The sequence below is a fragment of the Homo sapiens genome, chromosome X (genome assembly GCF_000001405.40).
Source record: "Homo sapiens chromosome X, GRCh38.p14 Primary Assembly".
Taxonomy (NCBI): domain Eukaryota; kingdom Metazoa; phylum Chordata; class Mammalia; order Primates; family Hominidae; genus Homo; species Homo sapiens.
Genome location: NC_000023.11, coordinates 106191897 through 106216586, shown reverse-complemented (window position 1 = coordinate 106216586; position 24690 = coordinate 106191897). Strand labels below are relative to the sequence as shown.

At 38.2% G+C, this 24690-nt stretch overlaps 1 protein-coding gene across 10 annotated transcripts in view; it reads right to left on the bottom strand.

The window, feature by feature from the left end:
* The window catches only part of PWWP3B (PWWP domain containing 3B), a 40652-nt gene continuing 23592 nt past the window's right edge, over positions 7631-24690 (bottom strand). For 4 of the 10 annotated variants that reach the window (NM_152423.5, NM_001171020.2, XM_047441824.1 and 1 more), the window contains 2 exons: positions 12417-12602; positions 7631-11368 (listed from right to left, as the gene is read on the bottom strand). In NM_152423.5, the coding sequence (NP_689636.3) occupies positions 9064-11154 (2091 nt within the window). In that variant the 5' untranslated portion in view covers positions 11155-11368; positions 12417-12602 and the 3' untranslated portion in view covers positions 7631-9063. Of the gene's footprint in view, positions 11369-12416; positions 12603-14817; positions 14949-24690 lie in introns of all 10 variants that reach the window. The other 6 variants (XM_047441823.1, XM_047441822.1, XM_047441825.1 and 3 more) reach the window with 2 other exon arrangements.

Here is a 24690-nt window from a genome sequence, read left to right as displayed (position 1 = left end):
AACTATTCTACAAATAAGCAAGGTGATAAACCTTGTTTGGTTTGAGACAAATGACTATTTGGAGCTAAAAGACTCAAAATAAAGTGCTTGCTTTTTCTACAGCTTATATTAGACTACAGGAACTCTTAAGTCAGTGTGGAGTCATAGGTCAGGAGCAGCCAGTTCATGAATACAATGATGCTAGCTGCCTTCCACATGGGAGTAGATGGCTATATTAAGAGAATCTCCCTCAGTGTCAGTGAGGAAGACAGCCAAAAAGACTGTCTGTTTTAAGAAACAATTCAATTGTTAAATAATGGATACTCCCAAAAATGGAATTTCAGGAAAATGTGGATGAACAATCTTCCTGAAGGCTGCCCAAATGATTTATTGCATGCTGAGATTTTATTCACACACATATAGACTGCATACAGATAATGCATCAACTTTATCCTTTAATTGCAGGTTGTTTTCTTGCAAAGACTGTTGAAATTAAGGATAATATATAAGAAAGTTTCTCTGCCATTGTTTTGAATTTTCAGAAATTTTCTTAAAAAGAAAATCTAAGAGTTTATATTAATAAGGTAAAAAATTCAATTAATATTTCTGAAAAAAATACATTGAATTTTAAAAATTATTGTTGCTTAATATCTGACACCGGTGCCTTTTCATGTAAAAAATGTGAATTCCATATTAAAATATCAAGTGTATTTCAATGAAATGTTATAAAATAAAATGATATTTTCTTTAAAAATATTTGAGGACTTGGTCCATTTCACTTAAATTATTAAATTTGTGTGCATAATGGTGTTGATAATATTTTATTATCCTTAACAACCATAGGGTTAGTAGTGATGTCTCCTGTTTTATTTCTGTTATTGATAATTTGTGACTTTTCTTTCTCTCTCCCCTTTTCTTGGTTACCCTGGTTAATGTCTTATCAAATCTATTAATCTTTTCAAAGAAACACCTTTAGATTTTACTAATTTATTCTATTTTTCCCTGTTTTTAGCTTTGTGGATTTCTGCTCTAGTATTTATTTTCTTTCTACTGCTCATTTTAGATTTAATCTGCTCTACTTTCTCTAGATTCCTAAGGTGAAAAGTTAGGTTACTGATTTTAGTAGTGGGAATGGGGTAGAAATGTGTATACTTTGTCTTATCCAGAAATGGAAAACTTATTAACTTTTAACAGCTTTCATTTATGAATGTTTAAAATGTTTTATGATGTTACTATACTGTGGTACCTAGTTATATTTTCTAAAATATATGCATCATTATTGTTGTTTGTCGTTGCCTGAGTGTCCACAAAACAGAGCCTGATACAAGAGTTTGCATGCAAATAGTTTATTTGCCAAGTGGTTTTAGTGAGTCAGAGTGAGAAAAATTAGTGGTGAAATAAGAAAAGAAGAAAATTCAAACAAGGATGTGTTATTAAATTGGACATCACTACAGGCAGGTCGCGCTCAGTCTTCTGGGATAGAAGTTGGTATCCACTTTTGTTAGGATGAATAACTACTATGGGTGCAGTGCATTCAACATGGATCCGAGTAGCTGGATGGTGTCTTTGAAGGAAGGTATAGAATTGAGGGCAGAGCATCAGATGTTGCTCTTGCAAAGATATACATTGAGCAGTGGCAGTAGCTTGATCACCTTTGACAAGAGAGAACCAATGCTGTTGAGCTCGTGCTTAGGCTTAATCCCTGCCACCAAGACAATTCATGGATTTATGTGCCAGAAATAAGATAACTGAGGAAAGAAGTTGTTTGACATTCATGGCATGAGTCATTAGGTCCACTTGGTTGTTGAGTGCCTTCTCTACAGTCAGTTCTCTTGCATGGCCATTAAAAATGAGGCACAAAGATACATATGATTTGTTTCCATTCCCATAATTCCATCTATGTGCCTCTAATCCACATTTTCTTTTTTTCAGTTTCCAGCCCTTCTCATTCCAAGACTCAGACACACCAGCCAAGTTGTTCTCCACAGTCCAGGAAACAACTTCAGGCCACTAGTCCCTTTGTAAAGTGAAGTAGCAGGTGTACTGTTCACAGCTTTGCCAACTAAGAGTTTCTCCTCCAACACTAATCTTCAGGGCTACTCCAACTGAGGCTAAAGTGTAGGAGCAGTACATTTACAGCTATCTGTAATGCTGACATCTGTGCATTCAGCTTGATATTTTCCTCTTCCATCAGCTGGTCATAGATAACCTCCTGACCCATGGTCATAGAAGTGTTTTGAGAGGAGGTATTATTGCAACAATGGTCAATGTCATGGCAGTTTTGTGTAATCTGCTGATTTATTGATGCCTTCTCATGCTGGATCTCATATATGGCATTTCCGTCATGGGGTGAATTGCTGTTTACCCCGTCAGCCCTTATCACTTGGTGAATCTAAATGTACAACTTATGATGGGCAGCTCATGTCATGTTGTCACTTGCTGTCTCTTGATTAGGCACTCTATTTCTATTATGCCTTAATAGCATATGAGGGTATGTTTTTAAATGGCAAGTAGTTTACAGGAGATATGGGTTTTCTTCAGAACCTCAGAATTATGTGTTATAGCACCCGTATAATGGCTAGATACTTCATGCTTAACCACCATAGATACCTTAAGCATTATCAGTTATGCTGAGTCATATGGCTTGAGTAGCAGGGCAATTTGCACTGCAGATCTGCAAACTTGGTGGGGAGCCATTATTTTCCACTGCAGCTGCTAACATCAGACTTTGGCTTGCCAGGTCACATCTTTTATTTATTTATTTATTTATTTATTTATCTATCTATTTATTAATTTGAGATGGAGTCTCTTTCTGTCGCCTAGGATAGAGTGGAATGGCATGCTCTCAGCTCACTGCAACCTCCGTCTCCTGGGTTCAAGCAATTCTCCTGCCTCAGCCTCCCAAGCAGCTGGGACTACAGGAGCCCACAACCACGCCCACCTAATTTTTTGTATTTTTAGTAGAGACCGGGTTTCACCATGTTAGCCAGGATTGTCTCGATTTCCTGACCTTGCGATCGCCCACCTCGGCCTCCCAAAGTCACATCTTTTATTTTTGTACAAAAGAAGTAATACATCAGCCAGCTGTCTGTACATCTAGCCCTGGAATACTACTATCTATAAGGCATTGTCACAGCTTCTGACATTTCTGTCAGTCAAGTTAGCCAGACTCCACTCTGACCTTGCTTTCCATTAAGGTAATGATACCTACCATGCCACTGAGGTTTCATGCTGTCACCTGGGCCCTACCATTTTGGAATCATATCATCTCCATTGCAACATAGTTTACTTCCAACCATGATTTGCAAAGGAGAGCCAACATCAAGCTTCTAAAAAATGTTAGTGTTCCTCCTCATCAACACATTCCTTATCAAAATATCTTCTCTGCCCTTTTAGGGAAAATAGTTCAGAGATAGGTCCTCTTGTCTCACTCAATAAGTCACTTCTAATACTGCTACTTCATTTGACCTTCTCACCAATTCCTCAGTACTCTGGCAAGAAAGTTTGAGTGGGCTGTCATGGTCAAGGCTTAAAGATGACACCCTAGCAGCGTTATTAGGCCAGCTCCAAGTCAGTGAACTCTGAATAACAGGTGTGTGATCCCATGCCAATAAGTTTCCCCCTATGATTGCATATTCTGCTCCCTTTCCTTGTTAGTTTTACAACCTCAATATCTGTTCCAACATATATTATCCTAGCTGATGCTAATGCATATTAGCCAGTTCCTGTATTTCCTTCTAAATATAGGGTATTTTCCACCTATTTAGAGATTGTATCTTGCTCCTTGTGCTGTGTAACAACTTACTTTTGTCATGGGTTGGAAGCAATTAAAAATGTCAGTGCTGGATATTGACACCAGCAATTTCTTTTGAGGTAGGTGTCTTAGATGAAGTTATTGGCTTGTCTCCAGGAACAGGGAGGCTGCTCTCCAATAGCATGGGTTTAAGGGGGCTGCTTCTGCTAGGCTGAGGGTTGAGGGGATTTATTCTTACACTTGGCTATTACCAGACTCATGGTTTTATTCTTTCCTTATCAGGATATCTCTATTTCTATGTGTGTATGTATGTATGTATGTATCTATCTATATCTATCTATCTATCTATCTATCTATCTATCTATCTATCTATCTATCATCTATCATCTATCTATCGATCGATCTATCTAAATCTGTAAGCATTATGTATGTGGTGTTCTTGCAGCTCTGTAGACCTGGGCCAGATTAGAATCTGGGCCTGATATTCAGAAGTCTGCCTTATGACTAGAAAAGATGAGGGTTTCCTTAACCCAGTGGGTTAGGGTGGATAACAAGTCAGGCTCTCCGATCAGACACACAAACCTACATTAGGGATCCAGCTTAGGGCAATCTTAGAGTTGCCTTAACAGCTACTCAGGCTGCAAGGGATCTGAGTCCACAATGTGTTGGAAGCCAAATTCATCCATTTTCACATCTCAAATGCCATTCAATGATTCATTCAAAGAGGAGAATGGATGCATGTTTGAGGCATTCCTCCCTTACTTCACTATGCCTCAAGATAAATGACATCTTAAGAGGGATCAGGTGTCCAATCTTTACTACAAACCAAACAGACACTTGGGAATTCCCAAATATGAGGAAACTTGGGCTCTGGTTTTCAAGTACAGGCAGTCTGTGCAAAAAGTTAATCAATATTTCTCACTATGATGATGTAGTGCATCCTACTCATCTTAGAAATTAGATTTTCATCTGGATCACAGAAGTAACATCTCCTTTCTTTGGAGCCTGAAATCTACCCTCAGAGCAGAGCTTTAGCTACAGATCACTTGCTCTCCTGACTCACAATGCTATAAATGAATGAATAAGGTAATAATGAAAATATTAGAACCAGGAGACAGAGATAGCTCCACTGAGAGAACTAAAGGTGGGTATTATATTGGAATCAGAGGGACACAATATTATTGATATGGTTTGGCTGTGTCCCCACCCAAATCTCATTTTTAATTCCCATGTGTTGTGGGAGGGACCCAGTGGGAGATAACTGAATCATGGGGGGACGTCTTTTCCATGTTGTTCTTGTGATAGTGAAGTCTCATGAGATCTGATCATTTTATAAAGAGAAACTCCCCAGCAAAGAGTTCTCTCTTTGCCTGCTGCCATCCATGTAAGATGTGACTTGCTCCTCTTTGCCTTCTGCCATGATTGTGAGGTCCCCCACAGCCATGTGGAACAGGAAGTCCATTAAACTTCTTTCTTTTGTAAATTGCCCAGTCTCTGGTATGTCTTTATCAGCAGTGTGAAAACAGACTAATACAGTAAATTGGCACCAGTAGAGTGGGGTGCTGCTGTAGATACCTGAAAATGTGGAAGCAACTTTGGAACTGGGTAACAGGCATATGTTGGAACAGTTTGGAGGGCTCATAAGAAGACAGGAAAATGTGGAAAACTTTGAAACTCCCTAGACTTGTTGAATGGCTTTGACCAAAATGCTGATAATGATATAAACAATGAAATCCAGGCTGTGGTCTCAGATGGAGATAAGAAACTTGTTTGGAACTGGAGCAAAGGTGACTCTTGTTATGTTTTAGCAAAGAGACTGGTGGCAATTTGCTCCTGCCCTAGAGATTTGTGGAATCTTGAACTTGAGAGGGATGATTTAGGGTATCTGGTGGAAGAAATTTCTAACCAGCAAAGCATTCAAGAGGTGACTTGGGTGCTGTTGAAGGCATTCAGTTTCATAAGGGAAGCAGAGCACAAAAATTCATAAAATTTGCAGCCAGACAATGCGATAGAAAAAAAAATTCCATTTTCTGAGGAGAAATCCAAGACAGCTGCAGAAATTTGCGTAACGAGGAGCAGAATGTTAATCCCCAAGACAATGGGGACAATGTCTCCAGGACATGTCAGAGGTCTTCACAGCAGCCCCTCCCATCACAGGCTCAAAGGCTTAGGAGAAAAAAGTGGTTTCAGGGGCCAGGCCCAGGGTCTCCGTGCTGTGTGCAGCCCAGGATCCCCATGAGGTGTGCAGTGCTGGTGCCCTGCGTGCAAGCCACTCCAGCTATTGCTGAAGGGGGTCAATGTAGCACTTGGGCCATGGCTTGAGAAGGTGCAAACCTCATGCCTTGGCAGCTTCCATGTGGTGTTGGGCATGCCAGTGCACAGAAGTCAAGAATTGGGGTTTGGGAACCATTGCCTAGATTTCAGAGGATGTATGGAAATGCCTGGATGCCCAGGCACAAGTTTGCTGCAGGGGTGGGGCTCTCATGAAGAACTTCTGCTAGGACAGTGTAGAAGAGAAATATGGGGTCGGAGCCCCAACACAGAGTCCCTACTGGGGCACCACCTAGTAGAGCTGTGAGAAGAGGGCCACTGTCCTCCAGACCCCAGAATGGTAGATCCACCAACAGCTTGCATCATGCACCTGGAAAAGCCGCAGACCCTCAATGCCAGCCCATAAAAACTGCCAGGAGGGAGGTTATACCCTGCAAAGCCACAGAAGCGAAGCTGCCCAAACCATGGGAACAAACCTCTTGCATCAGTGTGACCTGGATATGAGGCATGGAGTCAAAGGAAATCATTTTGGAGATTTAAGATTTGACTGCCCTGATGGATTTCAGACTTGCATGGGGCTTATAGCCCCTTTGTTTTGGCCAAATTCTCCCATTTGGGATGGCTGTATTTACTCAATGCCTATACCCTCATTGTATCTAGGAAGTAACTAACTTGCTTTTGATTTTACAGGCTCATATGCAGAAGGGACTTGCCTTGTCTCAGATGAGACACTGGACTGTGGACTTTTGAGTTAATGCTGAAATGATTTAAGACTTTGGAGGACTGTTGGGAAGGCAAGATTGGTTTTGAAATGTGAGGACATGAGATTTGGGATGGGCCAGGGGTGGAATGATATGGATTGGCTTTGTCCAAACCCAAATCTCATCTTGAATTCCCACGTTATGGGAGGGACCCAGTGGCAAATAATTGAATCATGGGGGTATGTCTTTCCCATGCTGTTCTTGTGATAGTGAATAAGTCTCATGAATTCTGATTGTTTTATAAAGAGGAACTCCCCTGCATGAGTTCTCTCTCTCTTTGCCTGCTGCCATCCATGTAAGAAGATGTGACTTGCTCCTCCTTGCCTTCGGCCATGATTGTGAGGCCCCACCCAGCCATGTGGAACTATAAGTCCGTTAAACCTCTTTCTTTTGTAAAATGCCCAGTCTCTGGTATGTCTTTATCAGCAGTGTGAAAATGGACTAATTATAGAGCAAATAAAGTGTGTTTTATCGAGGGTATAAAATCCACATACAGTGTGATGATGGTTTGTTGTAAATTACTTCTTAGGGCAATGGGGAAGGTATGTGGATTGATAGAGGCTGTATGTCCAAGAAGTCTTGGTCTTTTTTAGTCAGGGTCCAAAGAAGGTTTTGTGGGACATGCAGCTTATAAAATTCGGTAGGCTTTCTATTAAAGTAATACAAAATCAACATGAAAGGGAATACTTATTTAGAATGACAACTTATAGCAGGTGTTAAAATGATGGTAACTACAAGAACCAAAAATTCCAAACAAATCATATATATACATTGTGTGTGTGTGTGTGTGTGTGTGTATTAAATTTGGAGAAACACCACTTATGTAGCTGCACAATTTCAAGTAGGATGAAGTAAAAATCCAAGGTGAATAATATAACAGTTTTATTATAAATCAAAACACCAAACTTTTGCAAACTTTACATAAACGTGTAGCCATATGACTGTATAACAAGAGCCCAAGAGCAACCATTGTCTAACAGGTAGAAATGCAGACAGTTTCATGTTAAGCCTTTAGAATTTCCTTTCACGGCAGGTTTCCAAAATAAACTAACTTTTCTAACATTTATTCTCACAAAAATATATTTCAAGTTAGAATAAACAACTCATTGGCTTCAGACATTTAATTGTATGTATTTAACCATACTCAGATAATTGTCATATTTAGCCAAATGGAGGCTTTTTCTGTGACCTATTTCCAAATTCTCAGATTCTGGTTCATCTACTCCTTCAAGCAGTTTGGAATGACTTGCCAGTTGGCATTTATATCATTGGAACTATTCTGCAAATAAGCCATTTTGATAAAGCTTGCTTGGTTTGAGACAACTATGTATTTGGAGATAAAAGACTCAGAACAAAGTGCTTGCCTTTTCTACAGTTTATATCAAACGAGATGGGCACTTAAGCAGTCAGCCTGGATTCATATGTCTAGAGTGGCCAGGCTGTAAATACAATAAGTCTAGCTGCCTTCCACATGTGGTCAGACAGCTATATTAAGAAGATCTACTCACTGCTGGTTATGAAGATAGCCAGGAGCTTGTCTGATTTAAGGAACTATTCAGCCATTGAAGGATAGACACTCCCAAAAATGGAATTTCAGGGAAGTGTAGAATGAACAATCCTGTTCAAAGCAGCCAAAATTATTTTCTGCATGCCAAGATGTTATTCACACACATAAATACTATATGCAGATAATCTTCATTTTTGAATTACAAGTTGTTTTATTGCAAAAGCAAGTATAGTTATAATATATAGCAAAGCGAATCTATCTTTGGTTCTATATAGCAGATAATTTTTTTGCAAAAATAAATAGGCATGGCAAGAAAAATACTTCAACTATCTTAAGGGAAAACCCAATATTTTATAAAAATTAAGCAAGGAATATAGAAATGATGTATCTTTCAGACTTTTTTCCAATCATCTTCGTTAATATCTAACACCAGTGCAATTTTAACATTAAAATAATTGTGCACAATATATTTAACAATACAGCATAGACTCAAAAGTGTCATAAAACAAAATAGTACTTTCCCTTCAAAATCATTTAGGAATTATGCTTTCTAAAAAATGTACGGGAAAGTAGAACTGCTGAAATATGTTGACAAAATTAACTTTGAAGAAGCGCAAGAAAAGGAAATAAAGATGTAATTATAACCACAGATCCTAGAGATCTCAAAAAAAAGTGAACACATTATCCATGCTCCCATTTGCAGAAAATATGTATTAGAGAGAATTGTTCAGAGACTTTTTTCAACTAGTATCTATGAGAGCTCCCTGTCATGGTTTCAACTTTCAGCACATTTAGTGAGCTTCATTTGTTGGTGCTTTTCGTCTCTTTTCATATATTATTTTTGCATCAAATAATTCTCTTTCCCTGTAGCCTAGACATGGTCCTTTTAGATACTTTGCTTCAGCTGCCTCGTAATCTAACCCATCAACAGCAGAAATTGAACAAATAATTGCTTCTGGCAGAAGAACTTCTAGGATAAATTTAATTTTATCATCTTTTATCCAAGTTGGCATTATTTGATCTATTTGATTGCAGACTTCTTGTAAATATTTCACCACTTCATCCAACTGATCTTCATCCTCAAAGTATGTTTCAATACAGGGTGTGAACCTATTTGCATTCAAAAATGATTTCAGCCATCTGGATCCTTTTGTGCCATTTACAATGGCCAGAAGATGGTTCTCTGTTCCCTTTGCATTCACAATGAAGTCCACCAGGTTCTTGTTGGCTCGGTCCCGAGCAGCCTTCATCCGGTCAGGGAGAATTTTTTGGAAGGACATTTTCTTGGTCTGGGAAGTTACAGCCATCGGTTCCCTGGCATCTTCATTATGCAGCTTTGGAAATTTGTTCCTGAAAGTATCCTGTTTTGTTTCTTTCCTAACTGGGTAACTAATATCAGCAGCATAATACTCAAGCAAAGAGCCCGTGAAAGAACCACAACCTATTCTAACTCTGTAGTCACAAATTAGTGAGATGCACCAGTCAATACTCTCACTATAATCCTCCCTGGCTTTGTCCACTAGCATTTGTTTCTCTTTACAATCAAATTTCTTTAATCTTCTAAAATTTACTCTAATGCCCTTCTTTTCAGAATTCATGTTTGCCTCAACAAAAAGCACACTTGCTTTCCTCTCTTTTCGTCTGATACTTTTTATCACTGCTGGCCAAAATGGATATTTCTGATATTTAAACCAGACTATCATTCCTGTTTCAAACGGATGTGTCTCATAATGTAAAATGAAGCGTGGAAGTTCTTCGTCTTCCTCATCATCATCTAATAGAGAAAGATTAATGCGACTTGGAAGCAATGACTTGTCAGAGGCTTGACCTTCTTCCTCAAGTTCTTCAAAATCCAGTCTCTGAAAATTTCTTTCACTACTCATAAGATGTGAATAATCCCAGACAGGGTTAGAGGCACTAAATGAAACCTCGCATTCCCTTGAACAACTCCCAGGGCATGCTGCAGCCCCCATCTCTGATTCCATGGAAGGTTGATTCTGGCTGGTATCTAAGCATGGATTTGAGGGACCCTCTCCAGGATCCTCAATATTCTCTGAGAAAGCAGAGCATTCAGAGGGAACAGCCAGGGTCTCTAGGCAGGTATCCTCGCTCTCTTCTTTCAAAGCTTTGGGCATAATGAGCATATCTGATGACAAAGGTGACAAAGGTGGAGCAAACTTTTCATCTTTAACACATGCACTTTCCTCTTTGACTGCAGAATGCACAGACATAACTGCTGAGATATCAATCTTATTCTTGTTCTCTTTTTCATCATTATCTTCCGAAAGTGAAGGGAAAGTCTCGCACCAGCTAGAGTTTTGTAATGACTTTGTTTCCACTTCACTTGGAATAGTATCGACCATTGTGGGTGCTTGTGATTTATCATCATACAGGGAATCATCACTCTCTGAAGATGCTAACAAGCATGCTGAGTTTTCCCTTTCCTCAAGACACCCTGGTAAGTCACCTTCATCCTTCCGGTATTTTTTATGAGGGGGTGAATCGGACTGTTTTTGTGGTACATTTTGAGACAGCATAGTGATCTCCTCTTCATCTGAAGTGCTTGCTTGACTCAAATTTGTTCTCTCATTCAGAATACCCAGTGCCACTTTTAGTGATCTTCCATAGGCAGTTTCCTCTGTAGGTGGAGCACTGTCCTCTGACTGTAGTCCTAATGAGGCAGCAATGGCTTCAATTTGAGATTTATTTAGGATCTTTGTTTCTGTGCTGTCCAATTTAATTTTTTCATCTAGTGAGAGTATTTGAACTTCTAGAGAAAATGCCTTTTTCCTCTTACTGTTTGATGAAGTTTCAGATCTGGACAAAACTTTTGCTGGCCACAACTGGTCTTTCCAGTTGCATAGGACATACTCAGACTCCATTATGGTTTATATTTGTGTGCCAAGGGTTATTACCAAAGGTTGAGGTGGCTATCTTTGTCACTGCTAATGCAAGTTCTACCCAAAACAATACTCTTAACAAATCCTCTTTCGTCTTATGACTACAAAGGGTTTACAGCTTGTGTGGCCTGTTCTCCACCTCAATTTTCCAAGGATGCTTGAACACGTTGTTTGAATAGGATGATACCGGAAGATACTGAAACAGGGAAAAGGAAAAGAAGAAAAGTATCAGCAAATACGATTATTTCGCCAAAACGGGAGGTGAGCAATTACAAATGGAGAAGGGATAAAAGAACAATGTGCAGTGGGGCATGAGACAGAGGAGGCAGCATAATATAAGATTGCGGGGGGGAGGGGTGGAAAAAAACCAGAAAAGTTGTTTTATAATACCTCAGATTGAAGAACTTGCCCTCATTATTGAACATGCTTACTAAGGAGTGAATGTATGTACATGGCAGCAGAGGCGGGAGAGCTTGTGATGGGATGTCAGGAACTCTATGTAATTACATACTTTGGTACTTTTGTGTCCCTAATGTCATACTTATAGCAGTGGGTCTCCAAACTTAACATGTGTCAGAATCATCTGAAGGACTTATATTTCTAGGCCCCATCATGAGAGTTTTATTCAGAAGGTTTGGCTTGTGCTCAAAAGTTTGTATTTCTAAAAAGTTCTCAAGTGCCTCTAATGCTACATGTTTAAAAAGAACTCTTTGAGGAGCAATGTTCTAGTTGAAAACACAGCTTTGTATTTTTTAAGCTGCAAGTGCTCCACTGTTCACCTGGAGCAGGCAGACAAAGACAATAGGGTCTGTATCTCCTGGACCCAAACAAAAATACAATGACTCTTCTAAAAGCATAATTTTAGAAGGCAGAGATTCAGAATTACTGCTATGACAACTTCTTGGATAGGATCATTATAAAGGATTGGAGAGTCAGGCCATTGGCCTGAACCTCAGGGAGACACCTGAATAGCCTCTTGCATGATTTCTTTATAATCGTTTAAAAAGTGAGATTCTTCTCCAAACTAGAAGTTACGACTTTTAATTATAAAGTGTCATGGCTGCAGAACAGGGGGCAAAATGAATTGTACCCCAAATCATCAACCTAACATGATTCTAACATGAAATATGGCTTTTAATTTAAAATGCTAGGATGGCTATAGAGCAGGAGGCAAAATACATTATTCTCCAAGTTCTCAACATGTTTCTACCGTGAAATGTTTTATGAAATGGGAAGAGTCTTACCCACTGTCATGTGGATCCTGGTGGGTCTGGTCCTGTGGTCCGGCTGTCTTGATTCTCACTCCAACTGCTTGTCCAGCAGGGCCTTTACCCAGCTCGGCACTTCTGTGGTTGCACTGTCTTTCCAAGGCTTGGTTGGCATCACATGCAGATTGCCCAGGTCATGTGCTTCTCTGATATTAACCTATGCTGTTCAAAAGGAAGGCAGGGAATAAAACCAACGAAATGGGAAAAGTGTCAAGAATTTTCCCTACCTAAACTTTAACAGGCATGTCATTCTAAAACATAGGAATGAGGCAAAATTTCATCCGTGATGTAGATGCCATGTTTATTTTCCTTCTTATTTTTATAATTTGAAATGCTCTCTGGGATAAATTTATGCTATTTTGTTTATGTTGAAATCATCTCTGAAAAAAAGTATGGTGGAGTGGAGATAGGCAAAAAAGAAGTAACAATTGTCTTGTGTATACTATGAGTCAGAATGTAGATTTTGTTTGAATGCTCACATCAGTTATCATGTGGAATTTTTCTTCTTTACACATACAATTTTTTTTCAATGGAATTGCAATTACATGCTGTCTCATAGTTTACTAATACAAAATAGATTCATTGCTTTGTTTGTCTACTTCATAACAATGGTTGGCTGGAAAAAATTTAGAAAATCTGTCTAGTGCCCTCTTATGATGACAACCAGAACTGCTCATGAGTTGAAGGGGACTTCACTCACTATCAGATGTAGTTTCCATCCTTATTCCATAAGGACTACATACAGCTAGCCAGGAGTCTTCTCAGGCTTCTAGAATTTTCTATGTTAAATTTAAAGGTTTTGTTGTGTGGGATTCTAACCAGATCATAATGTCTTCAACTACAGTGTTTCTGATTATGAAAACATCCAGAAGCTTATTAAAAATTGAGAAGATGCAAAAAGGTATATGTAAAATAAAGTACAACTCTAGACAAATAACCACTATCAATATTTACTATATGTATTTCTAGAAGTTTTTTTACATATAAAGATAAATGTATCTCATTTGAAAATTTGAAACCAGCTTCAGATTCCACTCAAGAGCATAGCTTGAACATCATTCACCTAAATATTTTCCACATAATTTGATATAAATTACTTTAAATGAGGTTTTCCCCCAAGCCTGTAGCATTTATCTCAATATTTCCCCGAAGATGTAACAAACCCCAGATAAATATATATTAATAATTTTAAAAAGTAGAAAATGGTAAAGCTATCCCTGTCTCTACAACTATGCAAGTAATCCTGTTAAAACTTTCATAGATATGTTTTTCCTGATTTGTATGTAGTAACATACATAGGTATACTAACATACATATTTATTCTTAAGTGAGAACATATAGTATGTTCTATTATATAATTTTTTTCACCTTATACTGTTTCTCAGGCATTTGCCAAATGCATAGTATTTCATTGTACAGATGTACCATGCCATATAATATTTTGAAAACTGCGTATAGAAATAAACCAAATCCTCTGTTTCTCACTCTTAAACTTAGATGATACAGAAACATGGCTCTTCCTGACCATGCTGGTATCTGTGATCTGAAAGAATAAACTGCAGGGAGGACACATGCAGGCCTGTAGTTGACACGGCAACTATGCTACCCACTTGATCAAGTCCAGGAAAATTTCCACTATTGGCAGAAGACAGGGGGGATATGGGAGCATGTCTTTGTGTGTCTATGTGTGTTTATGTATTTGAAACAAAATGGGTATGCTGTTTCAGCTTCCTTTTTATTTCATGATTATAAAAATAATCACTGAGTAATCTACTCTAAAGATGCTGAAATAGTTTAAAAAATAATATTAAAATGGTGACCTGGCCACATAGAAATGCTGTTAACATGAGAGATTATTTTCCTCCAGATTTTAAAAATCACATATATACATGCATATATTATGTGCAAGTATCTTCACTCAACTACATATTTGATCCCTTTTCCATGCTCATGTACATGTGACACATACAGTCTTTTTATGTATCAATCAACTTATAGGTGTATTTCCCCCCATACTGTCAAATACTTCTAAGTTATTTTTCTGTGCAAATTAATAAATGCCTAAATATTCAAACAATAACGGAGTGTCTAACAATATAAACAGGGGATGCCAACTCAATAAATTAGCAGGAACAGTCATGCTGCACTGAAGCCTTAATTTAGAGGCTGTAATCTGATCACCCCTTCTCCCACTGTGGACTTCTAAAGCATTGGAAGATACAAAAATTCCAGAGGATTAACTCCTTCAAAATGCCAGCAATTCTCAAAACCACACACCTTTCCCACCACTGCAAGACTGCCATCCCTATTTTTCCTATCTTTACTCTAAGAACCTGAGAAGTCACTAGAAAATAAGTAGCTTTGAGACAGCCATTACCTTGAAGCTTCTTGTCAGCTGCAGCCTGGTGAAATGCAGCTCCTCCCCCAAGACTGGCCAGGCACAGTCCTTTCCTAGAGGCTCAGAGGAGGGTCCGCCCCCTGGCTGTATGAAGAACAGAAAGCCCCTGCCTGGATCAGGGGAGGGGGAATTGCCAAGAGAAACCGCTGAAGTGTTGAACTGCAGTAATGTTCCTTTTTAAAAAACTTTTAAGTGAAATGTCAACAAGTGTGCTTAATTTCTATTCAAAACCTTAGGGTGTGTGATTTCTTGAAGAAAAGAGGTAGCAAATCACTTTATCATATTTCAATCAAAACACAGTTACTAATATTCCTTACATATTTTTTTCTTGCCATCTCTGGCATCTTAACCCCATAGGTGAATTTTAAACCCAGCTGGTCAAGTCCATTAAAATAGACCGCTAAGGATATTGATTTGGATTACACAAAAACTGTACATTATTTGAGGGAGACTTTATTTCTTTATAATTCTTTTGTTTTTCTTTCTGTTTCCAGGACATGGTACGTCTCTACTTTTATTCAGTTCTTCTCTAAAACCCTTCAGGAAAGTTTCACAGATTTCTTCACATATGTGATTATTTCTTGCTAGATGTTAAAATCATTGGCTTACCAGGAAAGCACTCATTTCATATGCCCTCATCGATAATTAACAATTGTTTCTTTTTTTATTTTTATTTTTTATTTTATTTTATTTTTTTTTTTGAGACGGAGTCTTACTCTGTCGCCCAGGCTGGAGTGCAGTGGCGTGATCTCGGCTCACTGCAAGCTCCGCCTCCCGGGTTCACGCCATTCTCCTGCCTCAGCCTTCCGAGTAGCTGGGACTACAGGCGCCCGCCACCATGCCTGGCTAATTTTTTGCATTTTTAGTAGAGAAGGGGTTTCACCGTGTTAGCCAGGATGATCTCGATCTCCTGACCTCATGATCCGCCTGCCTCGGCCTTCCAAAGTGCTGGGATTACAGGCGTGAGCCACCGCGCCCGGCCGGCAATTCTGTTTCTTATGTTTTGTTGTTTTCACTTGGGTGATTCAATGTGAGGGGAATTAATTTTTAAAAATTTATGTCTTTATTTACAGGTCCGAAATATACTTTGTACATTCTGTTCATCAAAATTCTATGTTAAATTTAAGTATAGATTTCTGATTTAACTCAGAAAGTCAATTGTAATTATCACTAGTGATGATTTGGGGAATAAAGTATTTTATTTGGCTTCTGTATCATATAATATGTAGTATTACTCATATATATATAATTACAATTTTAACATTCACCTTTATATAAGCATTAATATTAAAATAAAAATACCAATAAATCAATGAAAGCCATCTCTAGGCTGGTGTATTACTGGGGACTCTAATAATTAGAGTATATAATGCTGTGTGCTATAAACAACCCCTAAATCTCAGAGGTTCAATCCCCCAAAAGTTTATTTTGCTGATGTCAAGGTTCAACGTAAGGCATCACGTGGCCAAATAGGGGCAAGTTTCTCTGTTCTAAGCAGTCATTAAGAGACCCAATCTTCTTCCATCCTGTGGCTCTACCATCTACTTGGGTCTTAAAGACCTTCATTACATTCTTTGCATCTAGCTAACAGCCTAAACAAGAGGGAGGATGGAGAGCCATATGGAAGGTTTTAGTGGTCAGGTCTGGCAAACATCACTGCTAGTTAACAGTCCACTAACCAGAATTTAGGCATGGATCCCCAACTGGCATAGAGGCTGGGTAATGTAATCTCCCTGTGACCCCAGGAGAAAAATGAGACAGAGGTTGACAAACATGTAGCGTTCTCTCTGTCACAGGAAATTTTCCCTTACAATCTTTTATAGACTTCTGTTACTGGTTTAATTTTTTTTTACAATCGTATATCATATTTGTAATGAATGAGACAGAAACTTCTAGTTGCTCACCCAAGATCCACTCTTTGCATTCTTCCTCATTAGCAGAACACCAGTTGTATTGAAGGTGGCAGTTTAATCTCCTAAAATATTGTCTTTCCCAGACTCCCTCACTGCAAGCCATGGTCATGTGATGGAATTTCTTGCCAAAGAATGCAAGCAGAAATTGCTGTGAAGATTCTAGAGAAGGCATCTCTAAAGGGGGATAAATAACCAGCTTGGGCTTTTTTTTTCCACTTTCCCCCTTTCTCTTGCTTTCCAGAATTTGATCATGATAGAGAGTTCAGGCAGCCTTTCTGGACCACAAAGTGACTTCGGAAAAGGATGCAACTCACTAGGGACGTGTGACCCTAAACCACTCAATAATGGGGATCACCTCATTCCAATCTCTTTAAGTTAGTGGAACATTAAACTTCTATCTTACCAAAGCCTCTCTGTTTTCCAGTCTTTTTTTCTAGTACTAGAACAAAATAGTTGATCTTATACAAATTACAATGAAAAGGATGGGCTCAGTGGCTCACGCCTGTAATCCCAGCACTTTGGGAGGCCGAGACAGGTGGATCACGAGGTCAGGAGATCAAGACCATTCTGGCTAACACGGTGAAACCCCGTCTCTACTAAAAATACAAAAAAAGAAAAAATTAGCCAGGCTTGGTGGCGGGTGCCTGTAGTCCCAGCTACTTGGGAGGCTGAGGCAGGAGAATGGCATGAACCCAGGAGGCAGAGCTTGCAGTGAGCCAAGATAGCACCACTGCACTCCAGCCTGGGCGACAAAGCGAGACTCTGTCTCAAAAAAAAAAAAAAAAATTACAATGAAAATAACAAAATTCTTATTATACAATTAATCCTTTCAATGCTTTCAAGGTATTAATACATAATCTAAAGAGGATTATCAGGCCAATATATATATGGCTTTATTTAAATGAAGAGATTTATTTTATTATATATTTTATAATGCAGTATTTTTCATTCTGCCTTCATTTCACATGTTTGGAAAAAAACAAATGCCCACAGAGTATGATAATTATGTTAAAATTTTTTTTGCTTTATTTTGGATATTTTCTAGATTGCACATAAATCAGGAAATGCTATACTATGGCACCATTTTCAAAATGAAATGCAAAGGAAAAGATTAATTCCATGAACAATATTTTCTATTTCACCAATTTGTAGAAGGAGGTGGACAAAAAGGATAACTAATAATAGCAAATGCTAATACTGCAATATTAATATTTTTATGATAAAGATAGATAACATTACAGATATAATAATATCTAATACCTACACAAGTTTTCTATGTGCCAGGCAATGTTCTCAAGCACTTGACATATGATCTTATTTAATAATTAGATGGTTATTTCCTGGAAGAGAGGGCCATAACCAACTCACTCTGTATAACAACATTAGTATTATTATTAATAATGACAATGATGATAGAAGCCAAAAGTGTTTTCTTACCATGGGGATTATATAAGGGGTGGGTCATCTAGGGTGTGTTTACAATACCTTGTGATTTCATTTATATGACATTTTCAAAAAGACAAAAGTATAGCTGTGGTGAAAAGATCAGTGTTGCCAGGTGTTACAGGTGGGGAAGGGTGTGGCTATAAAAGGACAAACCAAGGAAGTTGTGAGGGTGATGAAACTTTTCTGACTGTGGTGGTGGTTATATGAATCTTTATATATGTTAAAATCCAGAGAACCGTATACAAAAAATGGTCAAGTATAGTGTATTATACTTTAAAGTATGATTTTAATGTATAGCAATTCAAATAATAAAAATTTAAATGAAAAAATGTAGTAATAACCATTATATAAAAAGCAAGTCTTTGCAAGTATGCCTTAGAAAGCATCTGCTTCTTCCTAAAGCATACTTAATAACAAAAATTCCCCAAATAAGACCCATACGTATATTTTTTCAAAAGCACCAGTTACACTTCCACTTAGGATATAAAAAGCTGTAAGAGAATGTCATTCATAACTTAATAATGATAAATCTCTAGATAACATATGAAATCATAACTTTCCTTGAGCCTATCAGGGAACTGAGTTAAAGTGAATTCCAAAGGGTAATCAGCCCCTTTAAAGAAAGACAAAACATATGAACCTCTGTCCAAGCATGGAGACAGAAGTGACTGTCATACAAGCTGAAATTTTAATGAACTTTTAAAAGTAAAGCATGCGTTAGCTTTGTCAGTTTGGAATATCTGGAACCCCAACACGTACACACTTAATGCCAAGTTCTTTTTCACAGTCTTTAACCAGAAGCTCAGAAAAATGACTCAGGACAAAGCAGGAGACCTAAAAGAGTCCATGTCACTGGTTCTGGTATGCAGAAGGTAATCAGCTGTTGCTGGGGGACAGACATACAACCCCACAGAACCTTTCTGTCATGAGAAGCAAAGCCTTAAGACACTAGAGGAGAAGCAGCAAACCCTCTCCTGAACCCAGGCAAAAATCCCTTGCTTCTGGTGGAAGGGTAGAAGCAAAACTTACTTGCCTGGGAGGGAGAGATAGGAAACCCCCTAATTTCCAGGACAAAGGCAGAGATCCATTGCTGCTCAGGGAGAAGTAGAAGGGAAAAACCTCTGCCCTGGAGGGAACCCTCTCTAACCCAGTTCTTACATGAATGAAAAGCAGCCTGAGAAAGAGGCAAGAAAATATATCTGACCAAAGACCAACTACATATACAAATCAGAGGTTAGCTGCCATGGGGAGAGGAAAGAATGATGAGAAAGCCTTGCCCTAAAGGTTCATGTTCATAGAGCCCCGCTAAGGCTGTGGCTAGACAGGACAACAGACAGTACTTCCTACCTCACCATGAGCCTAGCACCTGATAATAACAGCAGTCAACTGCTGTCATGTGAACAAGAGTAAGAAGAGAGACTCTCTGCTGGTGGCACAAGTATGAAGAGACTACTGAAAATTTAGAGTGGAAAATCGTTGAAAAAAATCTTGTAGCACTCCAGGCTCCAACTGAAGCACAAATAATATAAGTTATGCAAGCCAGATGACAATTATGTGAGGAAAGGAGGAAAAACTCTTCAACATATTTTATAATACCAGCATTAACCTGATACCCAAACTAGAAAATAACAAATAAAGAAAACTTCAGATCAATATCTCTCATAAACATAGACAAAGAAGTCCTTAACGAAATGCTATTAATCAAAGCTGATGATAAGGAAAAAGAATAATACATTATGACCAAATGGAGTTTATCCTGGGAATGTATGGATGGTTCAACATTTGCAAATCAATCAATCAATATTATTCACCATATCAACAGACTAAAATGGAGAAAAAAAATCATCTCAATTTTTACAGAAAAAGCATTAACAACATTCCACAAATAATGATAAAAGACATTTAGCATAGTAAGAGTTTAATGGATCTTCCTCAACCTGATTAAAGACATCTACAAAAAAACAAAAAATAAAAAGCCTATGATTAACATCATATGGTAAAACATAGAATGCTTTTCCCCTAAAATCAGAAACAAGGCAAGGATGTTTGCTTTCACCACTTTTATTTAGCATTACATTGGCGATCCCAGCCAATTACAATAAGGCCTGAAAAATAAATAAATTATGTACGGATTGGAAGGGAAGAAGTAAAATTGCATTTACAGACAAGATGATGTATGTAGAAAATCCCAATGGAGCTACCAAAAAAAAGCTATGAAGCTATGAGACCTAATAAGTAAGTTTAATAATAATGCCAGACACAAAGTCAATATAAAATAATTTATTTTATTTCTACACAATAAAATTTGGAATTTCAAGTTTTAAAGAGTACCATTTGTAATATCATCAAAAACTGGGAAATACTAAGGGAGGATAACTATGTACAAGATTTGAATGCTGAAGACTTCAACACACTGATGAGATAAATTAAATAAGACCTAAATAAATAGAGAAATATACCATGTTCTTTGACTGAATAACTGAAATACTAATTTTTAGGATGTTATATCTCCCCAACATTTCTGTAGAATTATTGCAATCTCAATCAAAATCCCAGTAGGTTTTTCATAGAAATTGAGAAGCTAATTCCAAAATGTATGTGGAAAGAGCAAAGGAACCAGAACAGCCAGACAAATTTTGAGAAAAAAATACAAAAGTTAGAAGATTCATACTACCTGATTTCAAGGCTATGGTAATTAAGACAGTTTCTTATTGACATAGGATTGACCTATAGATCAATAGAATGCAAAGAGACCATCAAATATAGCCAACAGATTTTGGACAAAGGTAATTAAATGAAGAAATGGCGGTCTTTTCAACAAATGGTACGGAACAACTGGACATCACACACCAAAATATTCTTCTTGACCCCTCAGCTAAGAAGATATACAAAATTACTCAAAATGGGTTAGCGACCTAAATATAAAACCAAAAATTATAACTTGTAAAAAAAAGTAGAAAATCTTTAAGATTTTGGTCTAGGCAAAGATTTATTAGGATTTAAAAAGCATGGACCATAAAAAATTAATAAATTGGACTTGAAAACAAGTTCTTTTCAAAAAATAACATGAAAAGAAAACCCAGATTGGGAGACAATACTTGCAAAACACCTATGTGATGAAGGACTTTTATCCAAAATATATAAAGAACTCTCAAAATTCAATAATAAGATTATTATTGAATAACCAAATAAAAATAGTGAATTTAAACAGACACCTCATCAGAAAAGACATATGAATAGCAAGTGAACACATGAAAATATGCTCAACAGCATTAGTAATTGAGGATATGCAAGTAAAACCAGAATGAGACAAATGCCCCTCTCTGACAGCTTTGAAGAGAGTAGTGGTTCTCCCAGCATGAGATCTGAGAACGGGCAGACTTCCTCCTCAAGTGGGTCCCTGACCCCCGAGTAGCCTAATTGGGAGGCACCCCCCAGTAGGGGCAGACTGACACCTCATACGGCCGGGTACTGCTCTGAGATAAAACTTCCAGAGGAACAATCAGGCAGCAGCATCTGCAGTTCACCAATATCCGCTGTTCTGCAGCCACCGCTGCTGATACCCAGGCAAACAGGGTCTGGAGTGGACCTCTAGCAAACTCCAACAGACCTGCAGCTGAGGGTCCTGTCTGTTAGAAGGAAAACTAACAAAGAGAAAGGACATCCACACCAAAAATCCATCTGTACGTCACCATCATCAAAGACCAAAGGTAGATAAAACCACAAAGATGGGGAAAAAAAAGAGCAGAAAAACTGGAAACTCTAAAAATCAGAGTGCCTCTCCTCCTCCGAAGGAACACAGCTCCTCAACAGCAATGGAACAAAGCTGGACGGAGAATGACTTTGACAAGCTGAGAGAAGAAGGCTTCAGATGATCAAACTACTCCGAGCTACAGGAGGAAATTCAAACCGATGGCAAAGAAGTTAAAAGCTTTGAAAAAAAATTAGACGAATGTATAACTAGAATAACCAATGCAGAGAAGTCCTTAAAGGACCTGATGGAGCGGAAAACCAAGGCACGAGAGCTACATGACAAATGCAGAAGCCTCAGTAACCGATGTGATCAACTGGAAGAAAGGGTATCAGCGATGGAAGACGAAATGAATGAAATGAAGCGAGAACAGAAATTTAGAGAAAAAAGAATGAAAAGAAATGAACAAAGACTGCAAGAAATATGGGACTATGTGAAAAGACCAAATCTATGTCTGATTGGTGTACCTGAAAGTGACGGGGAGAATGGAACCAAGTTGGAAAACACTCTGCAGGATATTATCCAGGAGAACTTCCCCAATCTAGCAAGGCAGGCCAACATTCAAATTCAGGAAATACAGAGAATGCCACAAAGATACTCCTCAAGAAGAGCAACTCCAAGACACATAATTGTCAGATTAACCAAAGTTGAAATGAAGGAAAAAAATGTTAAGGGCAGCCAGAAAGAAAGGTGAGGTTACCCACAAAGGGAAGCCCATCAGACTAACAGCTGATCTCTTGGCAGAAACTCTACAAGCCAGAAGAGAGTGGGGGCGAATATTCAACATTCTTAAAGAAAAGAATTTTCAACCCAGAATCTCATATCCAGCCAAACTAAGCTTCACAAGTGAAGTAGAAATAAAATACTTTACAGATAAGCAAATGCTGGGAGATTTTGTCACCACCAGGCCTGCCGTAAAAGAGCTCCTAAAGGAAGCACTAAACATGGAAAGGAACAACCAGTACCAGGCACTGCAAAAACATGCCAAATTGTAAAGAACATCAAGGCTAGGAAGAAACTACATCAACTAACGAGCAAAATAACCAGCTAACATCATAATGACAGGATCAAATTCACACATAACAATATTAACTTTAAATGTAAATGGGCTAAATGCTCCAATTAAAAGACACAGACTGGCAAATTGGATAAAGAGTCAAGATCCATCAGTGTGCTGTATTCAGGAAGCCCATCTCACGTGCAGAGACACACATAGGCTCAAAATAAAGGGATGGAGGAAGATCTACAAAGCAAATGGAAAACAAAAAAAGGCAGGGATTGCAATCCTAGTCTCGGATAAAACAGACTTTAAACCAACAAAGATCAAAAGAGACAAAGAAGGCCATTACATAATGGTAAAGGGATCAATTCAACAAGAAGAGCTAACTATCCTAAATATATATGCACCCAATACAGGAGCACCCAGATTCATAAAGCAAGTCCTTAGTGACCTACGAAGAGACTTAGACTCCCACACAATAATAATGGGAGACTTTAACACCCCACTCTCAACATTAGACAGATCAATGAGACAGAAAGTTAACAATACCCAGGAATTGAACTCAGCTCTGCACCAAGCGGACCTAATAGACATCTACAGAACTCTCCACCCTAAATCAACAAAATATACATTCTATTCAGCACCACATCACACCCACTCCAAAATTGACCACATAGTTGGAAGTAAAGCACTCCTCAGCAAATGGAAAAGAACAGAAATTATAACAAACTGTCTCTCAGACCACAGTGCAATCAAACTAGAACTCAGGATTAAGAAACTCACTCAAAACCACTCAACTACATGGAAACTGAACAACCTGCTCCTGAATGACTACTGGGTACATAATGAAATGAAGGCAGAAATAAAGATGTTCTTTGAAACCAACGAGAACAAAGACACAACATACCAGAATCTCTGGGACACATTCAAAGCAGGGTGTAGAGGGAAATTTATAGCACTAAATGCCCACAAGAGAAAGCAGGAAAGATCTAAAATTGACAACCTAACATCACAATTAAAAGAACTAGAAAAGCAAGAGCAAACACATTCAAAAGCTAGCAGAAGGCAAGAAATAACTAAGATCAGAGCAGAACTGAAGGAAATAGAGACACAAAAAACCCTTCAAAAAATCAATGAATCCAGGAGCTGGTTTTTTGAAAAGATCAACAAAATTGATAGACCGCTACCAAGACTAATAAAGAAGAAAAGAGAGAAGAATCAAATAGATGCAATAAAAAATGATAAAGGGGATATCACCACCCATCCCACAGAAATACAAACTACCATCAGAGAATACTATAAACACCTCTATGCAAATAAACTAGAAAATCTAGAAGAAATGGATAAATTCCTCGACACATACATCCCCCCAAGAGTAAACCAGGAAGAAGTTGAATCTCTGAATAGACCAATAACAGGAGCTGAAATTGAGGCAATAATCAATAGTTTACCAACCAAAAAAAGTCCAGGACCTGATGGATTCACAGCCAAATTCTAACAGAGGTACAAAAAGTAGGTGGTACCATTCCTTCTGAAACTATTCCAATCAATAGAAAAAGAGGGAATCCTCCCTAACTCATTTTATGAGGCCAGCATCATCCTGATACCAAAGACTGGCAGAGACACAACCAAAAAAGACAATTTTAGACCAATATCCTTGATGAACATTGATGCAAAAATCCTCAAAAAAATACTGGCAAATCGGATCCAGCAGCCCATGAAAAAGCTTATCCACCATGATA